Below are 10274 nucleotides of genomic sequence, written 5' to 3'. Positions count from 1 at the left end.
CCCCACTACCATTTTCTTTAAAAAGCACAACATCCCTGAAGACTATGATGGGTAAAACTTTGCCTGACCCCTGACCTGTTTTATTCTCCTCCAAACAATCAAAAGTTTAGACAAAGAGTTCTTTTGGGGGAATATTTTACTGTTTGTCAACTGTTTTTGTTTGATCTGGTGGGCTTCTATTTGTGTCTACAATCTGTCATCAAACATGATTTTGTTTTAGTTTAGTATGTTTTGGCAGAAAATAAAGATTACTATATCAGAATAAAGGATCAATCTAATGACAGATTTTTGTCCCAATGCTCAGTGCCTTTTTGTCCCCAGTAAACTCTCTGATGGATCCATCATGATCCCACACTGCGGGGAGCAGATGCCAGCCTCCTCCATGCTCAGGCACAGCAGCCCCCTTCCACCCCTGGACCAAGTATTGGCAGGGCAGGGGCTCTCAGCCATGTCAGCCTCAGAGCAGTTCATAGTGAAAGCTGATTTTGACTGATCGACACAACATACACACAGTAGCCAAAGGATATGTTGGTTTATTTCTCTCAGTGACTCGAACAAAACACTATGAGAATTTCACCATCATCCCAATATTTCCTGTTTTGCTATATGTTTGTGATTTTCATGCTTAACTTTCCTGCCTTGACTGCAATACTTATCAGGTGGGTTTAATTGCTTATGGGAATAACTAACATCTAATTTGTTCAATAATTCAATCACTCATCTTATAAACCACTTCCCGTTTACTCTGTGCAAAACTTTGAAGACAGTCATGATGGAGCAGGTGCTGACATCACTCTCCAGAAACCTGCAATCTAAGAAGGGAAGAAATGTGGGAAAAGAAGTTCTAGTAAGAAGAAACACCATGAGCAAAGGTCCTTAGATGGGAAAAATGGAAACCTACAGATAGATCAATAATTATAGTTGATTAGAGAATAAAGGATGAGTATGCAGTGCATGCCAAACTGGAGAGGGCTCCAGTATTTATTTGTGTGGTAGGGGCAGCTTCCAGTTGGCCAGTGGTCTCCAGTGGATTTTGATCCAGCATCCCATCAGAACAATATTTTGAGTACACCTTCTCACTATATACCATTTATTCATCATTTTATAATGTCTAGACTACATGACTGACATATATTATGTGTATGATCAAATCATTACAAAAAACAGGAATAAAAAAATGAGATGGAAAATAATGTAAGCAGAAGTTTGAAGATCTTGTTTGCATACTGAGTGCTCTTTCTTCTGGGGACACAGTTTTAGGCAGTGGGGACAACTGAGGATTAAATCTCACACTATGACCCGTCTCTGAACGAAAGTCCTGAGGCCAAGGAAGCTCAGTGAGGTACACTGATTAATTCTCATAAGGTCAGTTAAAAAGTGAAGGAAGTGGAGACCTGAAACTATACAAATTCTGGAATATAACATGGAGAAACCCTTCTAGACATTGGCTTAGGCAAGGATTTCATGACTAAGAACCCAATAAAGCTAATGCAATAAAAGCAAAGATCAATAGCTGGGACCTAATTAAACTAAAGAGCTTTTGCATGGCAAAAGGAACAGTTAGCAGAGTAAACAGACAACCCACAGAATGAGAGAAAATCTTCACAATCTATACATCTGACAAAGCACTAATATCCAGAATCTACAATGAACTCAAACAAATTGGTAAGAAAAAACAAACAATTCCATCAAAAAGAGGGCTAAGGACATGAATAGACAATTCTCAAAAGAAGATATATGAACAATATAACATACGTAAAATGAAATACATGAAAAAATGCTCATCACTAATGATCAGGGAAATGCAAATCAAAACCACAATGCAACACCACCTTATTCCTGCAAGAATGGCCATAGTCAAAAAATCAAAAAACAGTAGATGTTGGCATGGATGTAGTGATCAGGGAACACTTCTACACTGCTGATTGGAATGGAAACTAGTACAGCCACTATAGAAAATAGTGTGGAGATTCCTTAAAGAACTAAAAGCACAACTACCATTTGATCCAGCAATCCCACCACTGGGTATCTACCCAGAGGAAAAGAAGTCATTATACAAAAAAAAAAAAAAAAAGTACTTGCACATGCATGTTTATAACAGCACAATTCGCAATAACAAAATTGTGGAACCAACCCAAATGCCCATCAATCAACAAGTGGATAAAGAAACTGTGGTATATATAGGGCAACCCCCTTTGGGTCCCCTCCCATTTTATAGGAGCTCTGTTTTCACTCTGTTAAATCTTGCAACTGCACACTCCTCTGGTCCGTGTTTGTTATGGCTTGAGCTGAGCTTTTGCTCACCAACCACCACTGCTGTTTGCTGCAGTCACAGACCCACCGCTGACTTCCATCCCTCTGGATCTGGCAGGGTGTCTGCTGTACTCCTGATCCAGTGAGGCACCCATTGCCACTCCTGATCGGGCAAAAGGCTTGCCATTATTCCTGCATGGCTAAGTGCCCGGGTTTGTCCTAATTGAGCTGAATAGAGCTATATCACTCACCGCATGGCCCAAGATTCCATTCCTTGGAATCTGTGAGGCCAAGAACCCCAGGTCAGAGAACAAAAGGCTTGCCTCCATCTTGGAAGCGGCCTGCCACCACTTGGGAGCTCTAAGAACAAGGACCCCCTGGTAACATTTTGGCGACCATGAAGGGACCTCCAAAGTGGTGAGTAATATTGGACCACTTTCATTTGCTATTCTGTCCTATCCCCTTAGAATTGGAGGAAAATACTGGGCACCTGTCGCCAGTTAAAAACGATTAGCGTGGCCGCCAGACTTAAGACTCAGGTGTGAGGCTGTCTGGGGAAGGGCTTTCTAACAACTGTTGGGAGTGTTGGTCTGCCTGGAACCAGCTTCCACTTTCAATTTTCCTGGGGAAGCCGAGGGCTGACTAGAGGCAGAAAGCTGTCATCCTGAACTCCTGGCATTGGCCAGTTGAGATCATGGCGCAGCCAGAAGTCTACTCAACAGTTGCCCATGTGTGTGCCCCTACCTCTCCTTCTGACCCATACCTCCTGGGCCCCAACCATGACTTTCTTAAAAGTGTAGCCCCAAAATTCTCCTTACCTCTGAATCTACTTCCTCTGATCCCTGCCTCCTAGATACTAGTGTTTCAGAATTTCGCTCCCTCTGCCAAGTATTAGAGAAGGCTGTATCTCCAAAGGGATCTAAGGAAGCTCTACGCTGTGTCCTTAGGCACCTAGGCTATGGACCCAGGGAGTCTTGTCCCTGGTGTCCCTCCCAATTTAGGCATACAGCTCTTGACATGGACAGTTATGTGCGACCCATTCCCCACCACCCTTGCCAGGGCCCCAGATTTGTAAAGCAGAAAAAGAAAGAGAGAAAAGGAAGAGGCAGAGAGAGAAAGGAGAGAAACAGGAAAGAGAGAGACACATGGAGGAGAGAGAGAGATGGAGAGGAGAGAGAAAGAAAAAGATAGAAGTAGTAAAGACAAAACAGTGTGCCCTATTCCTTTAAAAGCCAGGGTAAATTAAAATCTATAATTGATAATTGAAGGTCTTCTCTGTGACCCTATAACACTCCAATACCAACTTGTTGTCGGTGTAAACAAGGGCGTAGCCTGAAAGCACTGAGACCACTGACAACCTGTAACCTTCCTAGCAAAAATCCTTAACCCAGCAACCCGCGGATGGCCCAAATGCATTCAATCAGTAGTGGCAACCACTTTGCTAAAAGTAGAAAAATAACCTTTACAGGAAACCTCATTGTGAGCACACCTCACCAGTTCAGAACTATCCTAAGTTTAAAAAGCAAAAAGGTAGCTTACTAACTCAAATCTTAAAGTATGGGGCTATTCTGTTAGAAAAAGTTGATTTAACATTAACCACTGAAAACTCCTTTAACCCAGCAGATTTCCTAATAGGGGATTTAAATCTTAATTACCATACAAAGGTCTGACCAGACCTAGGAGGAAATCCCTTCAGGACAGGACTATAGATGGCTCCTCCCAGGTGATTGAGAAAAAACCACAATGGGTATTCAGTAATTGATAGGGAGACCTTGTGGAAGCAAAGTTAGGAGAATTGCTTAATAGTTGGTCTGCTCAAACGTGCAAGCTGTTTGCACTAAACAAATTAAAATAGACCTAGGTAAATTCTCAGATAACCCCAATGGCTATATTGATGTTTTACAAGGGTTAAGACAGTCCTTTGATCTGACATGGAGAGATATAATGTTACTGCTAGATCAGACACTAACCCCAAATGAGAGAAGTGCTGCCATAACTGCAGCCCGAGAGTTTGGCTATCTCTGGTCTCTCAGTCAGGTCAATGATAGATTGACAACAGAGGAAAGAGAACAATTCCTCACAGGCCAGCAGGCAGTTCCCAGTGTACACCCTCACTGGGACACAGAATCAGAACACGGAGATTGGTGCCACAGACATTTACTAACTTGCATGCTAGAAGGAGTAAGGAAAACTAGGAAAAAGCCTATAAATTATTCAGTGATGTCCACTATAACACAGGGAAAGGAAGAAAATCCTACTGCCTTTCTGGAAGAGACTAAGGGAGGCATTGAGGAAGCATACCTCTCTGTCACGTGATTCTATTGAAGGCCAGCTAATCTTAAAGGATAAGTTTATCACTCAGTCAGCTGCAGATATTTAATAAAAACTTCAAAAGTCCACCTTAGGCCTGGAGCAAAAGTTAGAAACCCTATTGAACTTGGCAACCTCGGTGTTTTATAATAGAGATCAGGAGGAACAGGCAGAACGGGACAAACTAGATAAGAAAAAGGCCACCGCTTTAGTCATGGCCCTCAGGCAAGCAGACTTTGGAGGCTCTGGAACATGGAAATGCAGGGCAAATCGAATGCCTAATAGGGCTTGCTTCCAGTGTGGTCTACAAGGACACTTTAAAAAAGATTGTCCGAATAGAAATAAGCTGCCTCCTCATCCATGCCCCTTATGTCAAGAGAATCACTGGAAGGCCTACTGCCCCAGGGAATGAAGGTCTTCTGAGTCAGAAGCCACTAACCAGATGATCCAGCAGCAGGACTGAGGGTGCCCGGGGCAAGTGTCAGCCCATGCCGTCACCCTCACAGAGCCCCAGGTATGCTTGACCATTGAGGGCCAGGAGGTTAACTGTCTCCTGGACACTGGCATGGCCTTCTCAGTCTTACTCTGCTGTCCTGGACAACGGTCCTCCAGAACTGTCACTATCTGAGGGGTCCTAGGACAGCCAGTCACTAGATACTTCTCCAAGCCACTAAGTTGTGACTGGGGAACTTGACTCTTTACACATGCTTTTCTAATTATGCCTGAAAGCCCCACTCCCTTGTTAGGGAGAGACATTCTAGCAAAAGCAGGGGCCATTATACACTAGAATTAGGAGAAGGAAAAAGGGTAAATATTTATACAGACTCTAAATATGCTTACCCAGTCCTCCATGCCCACACAGCAATATGGAGAGAAAGGGAATTCCTAAGTTCAGAGGGAACACCTATCAAACACCAGAAAGCCATTAGGAGATTATTATTGGCTGTACAGAAACCTAACAGGTGGCAGTCTCACACTGCCAGGGTCATCAGAAAGGAAAGGAAAGAAGAAATAGAAGGGAACTGCCAAGCAGATATTGAAGCCAAAAGATCTGCAAGGCAGGACCCTTCATTAGAAATGCTTATAGAATAACCCCTAGTATGGGGTAATCCCCTCAGGGAAACCAAGCCCCAGTACTCAGCAGGAGAAATAGAATGGGGAACCTCACAAGGACATAGGTTCCTCCCCTCAGGATGGCTAGCCACTGAAGAAGGAAAAATACTTTTGCCTGCAGCTAACCAATGGAAATTACTTAAAACCCTTCACCAAACCTTTCACTTAGGCATTGATAGCATCCATCAGATGGCCAAATTATTATTTAGTGGACCAGGCCTTTTCAAACCCATCAAGCATATAGTCAGGGCCTGTAAAGTGTGCCAAAGAAATAATCCCCTACATTACAGACCATACATTCCAATTCCTGTATCTTTAACCTCCTTGTTAAGTTTGTCTCTTCCAGAATCGAAGCTGTAAAACTACAAATTGTTCTTCAAATGGAGCTCCAGATGCAGTCCATGACTAAGATCTACCGTGGACCCCTGGACCAGCCTGCTAGCTCATGCTTTGATGTTGGTGACATCGAAGTCACCCGTCCCAAGGAAATTTCAACTGCATGACCCCTACTACACCCCAATTCAGCAGGAAGCAGTTAGAGTGGTCATCGGCCAACCTCCCCAACAGCACTTGAGTTTAACTGTTGAGAGGGGGTACTGAGAGACAGGACTAGCTGGATTTCCTAGGCTAACTAAGAATCCCTAAGCCTAGCTGGGAAGATGACTGCATCCACCTTTAAACACGGGGCTTGCAACTTAGCTCACACCTGACCAATCAGGTAGTAAAGAGAGCTCACTAAAATGCTAATTAGGCAAAAACAGGAGGTTAAGAAATAGCCAATGATCTATCGCCTGAAAGAACAGGAGGAGGGACAATGATCTGGATATAAACCCAGGCATTTGAGCTTGCAATGGCAACCCCCTTTGGGTCCCCTCCCATTTTATGGGAGTCTGTTTTCACTCTATTAAATCTTGCCACTGCAAAAAAAAAAAGAAAAGAAAAGAAACTGTGGTATATATATATTCAATGGAATACTCTCAGCCATAAAAAGGAATGAATTAACAGCATTTGCAGTGACCTGGATGAGATTGGAGACTACTATTCTAAGTGAGGTATTCAGGAATGAAAAACCAAAGATCGTATGTTCTCTCTGGTATGTAGGAGCTAAGCTATGAGGAGGCAGAGGCATGAGAATGATACAATGGACTTTGAAGACCTGGAGGGAAGGTGGGAGAGGGGTGAGGGATAAAAGGCAACAAATAGGGTGCAGTGTATACTGCTCGTATGATGGGCACACCAAAATCTCACAAATAACCACTAAATAACTTACTCATGTAACCAAATACCACCTGTACCCTAATAACCTATGGAAAAAAATGAAAAAAAATTAAATTAAAATTTTTTAAAAAGTTAAGGAAGTGGGAGGGAAAACTCCAGAAATATCTGTAGGAGGTGAAGTCAGGGAGGAAGAAGAGAACTCCTGGAGGCCCTGGGCTTGGTGGCCTCCTCCATCCAAGCCCAAGGCAAGGGCCCCTTGGACTAATGTTTAAGTGTAGATTGGGATCCCTGCAGCCATTGCCACAGTCTCACTAAAGCTGCTTCTAGGGAGGGTGGACTGCCTCCGTGCATCCCTGTACATACACCATCTCAATTCTCCATTCCCAGGAACCCTCAAACCTGAGGCTCAGAATAGCTTAGGGAGCCTCCCATATCACTCTTACAAACACAACATTTGCTGTAATTTTCAAGAATGGGAAGTTCCTGGAAGATCTGAAAATATGGATAAACAAAAAGAAGGCAATAGCAATCACTTTGTTTCCACTACCCAGATTTGTGAATTTGTTAGCATCTTCCCTTTTCCAACATTTTTCTCTGTGGAGTGTGTGTGTGTGTGTTTACAAAATCGCACATTTTAAGTTATTTTTGCAACTTGCTTTTTCCATTTAACAATATATTATTACATGTTTCCATGTGATATTGTGTTCTTGAACATCTTTTTTTTTTATTGTGGTGAAACACACATAAAATTTATCGTCAATCATTTTTAAGTGTACTGTTCAGTTACTTTAAATATTATACATTAATATTATACAGCTATCACCACCATCCATCTCCAGAACTCTTTTTATCTTTCAAATCTGAAACTACACCCATTAAGCAACTCCCCATTTCCCCCTTGCTCTGCCCCTGGCAACCACCATTCTACTTTTTATCTCTATGGATTGGACTGGTCTAGGTATCTCATATGAGTGGACTCACCCAATATTTGCCTTTTTGTGACTGGCTTACTTCACTTAGCATAATGTCCTCAGGTTTCACCCATGCTGTAGCATATGTCAGAATTTCCTGTCTTTTTAAGGCTGAATAATATCCATCATACTTCAACATCTTTCTGAAATGACTGCATAGTATTTCTTTTGCAGACAGGCTATGATTTACTTAACTCTTTTTTCTTAGGTGATCACTTGATTTCCATTTTTGAGTATTATAAACAACACAGTAGTGAATGTCTGCCTATCTAAATATTTGCACATATACATGATTCTTTTTTCCCCATGGAATACACTCCTACCTGGAGGCGGAATTGCTAAATCCAATGGTGGAGCCACACCCTTAGTCACCACACAGGGCATGAGCCTTTCACTTTGGCGAGGTGGCCTCTGCTCTAGTTGGTCTCTGACACTTGAAACTTCACCTCTCTTTATCGTACTTAAAATGGCTCTCCAATTACAGTCACAACCCTTCTTAGGGGAAAAAAATGCATCCAAGTGGCTACCACGTTGGATTGAATTGGGTGCTCATCCTGTTTCCTCAGCAAAGGAAAGGCCTTAGGATGTGAAGAGAGGAACCCACATTTTTTCAGTATTTCATATATTACCAGGCCTTTTCATGGCTGTTCCTCCATAGCCTCTCATTCTCCAACATTTGAAGGTCCACCTTATTCTAATTCATTTTTCAAAATTTTGAGATAATTTTAGATTTATGGATGAGTTGTAAAGATAGTACAGCGATTTCTCATGTTCACTAATGTTAAAATCTTGCATAACCACAGTATATTTGTCAAAACTAAGAAAATAGCATTAGTGGACAGGTGCAGTGGCTCACGCCTGTAATCCCAATACTTTGGGAGGCCGAGGCAGAAGGATCACTTGAGGTCAGGAGTTCAAGACCAGCCTGGACAACATGGTGAAACCCCACCTCTCCTAAAAATAAAAAAATGAGTTGGGCATGGTGGCATGCACCTGTAATCCCAGCTACTCTGGAGGCTGAGGTAAGAGAATTGCTTGAACTTAGGAGGCGGAGGTTGCAGTAAGACAGGATTACGCCACTGCACTCCAGCCTGGGCAACAGAGTGAGACTCTGTCTCAAAAGAAAAATAATAAATAAAATAAAATAAAGAAAAGAAAAGAAAATAGCAGTAGTGGCTTGGAGTGGTGGCTCACTCTTATAATCTCAGCACCTTCAGAGGCTGAGGCAGGTGGATCACTTGAGCCCAGGAGTTTGAGTCCAGCCTGGGCAACGTGGCAAAACCCTGTCTCCACCAAAACATAAAAAACTAGTCAGGTGTGGTGGTGGGCTCCTGTAGTCCCAGCTACTCAGGGGCCTGAGGAAGGAGGATTACCTGAGCCTGGGAGACAGAGGCTACAGTGACCCGAGATTGTGCCTCTGCACTCCAGCCTGGGCAACAGAGAGATAGCCCGTCTCAAAACAAAACAAAGCAAAACAAAACAAAAGAAAATGGCATTTGCACTACACTATTAACTACACTACACTATTAGCAGGTCTAGCTATGACCTGTTTTTTCTATGAATGTCCTCCTTCTGCCCAATAATCCAATCCAGGCTTCCACACTGCATTTAGTCTTCATGACTTCTTAGTCCCCTCCAATCTGTGGCAATTTTCAACCTTTTCTTGTTGTCATGACTTTGATGGTTTTGAAGAGAGCTGGTCAGGTATTTGGAAGAGTGTCCCTTCATTTGAGTCTGTCTTATGTTTTCTCCTAGTTACACTAGGATTATAGATTTGCGGGAGAATGAGACAGAGGCAAGCGTCCTCATCACCTTCCATCAGTGGGTGCATGATGCCAGATGACGTCCTTGTTGATGGAAACCTGGACCACGTGGTTGAGGAAGTGCCTGCCAGATTCCTCCTCCATGAAGCTGCTATTTTTCTCTTTCGTTACACAATTGATGAGATGAGAGTCACCAAGTCCAGCTCATACTCAGGGGAGGGGAAGTAAGATCCACTTCTGGAAGTGGATCAAAGCATTTGTGGATCCATATTAAAACCACCATGATAATTAAGAATTATTTTGGCATAGACACTTTGAGGCCATGCCAATAACCTGCTTCTTTTTCAAGTTTTACTCACTAATTTTAGCATCCATCAGTGGATTTTGCCCTCAGCAATTACCACTGTGTTGTTCTAATGGTGATTTTTCTATTCACTCATTCTTTCTACATTATTTAGAAATTATTAAGGAAGATTTGTCTATTTCCTCATTTATTTATTTTTCAATCATTTATTTATATCAGTAAGTACTCACAGATATTTATTTTACTCTCTGGGTCACAAGCAAACACTCTCCTTATTTATTGTATTGCTCAATTTGTTCTGATTTTGGCCATTGGGATTTTTTTTTTCAGGTTGGCCCTTAT

This window comes from Homo sapiens, chromosome 9 (genome assembly GCF_000001405.40).
Source record: "Homo sapiens chromosome 9, GRCh38.p14 Primary Assembly".
Classification (NCBI taxonomy): domain Eukaryota; kingdom Metazoa; phylum Chordata; class Mammalia; order Primates; family Hominidae; genus Homo; species Homo sapiens.
Note: the sequence above shows the minus strand (reverse complement) of the source record.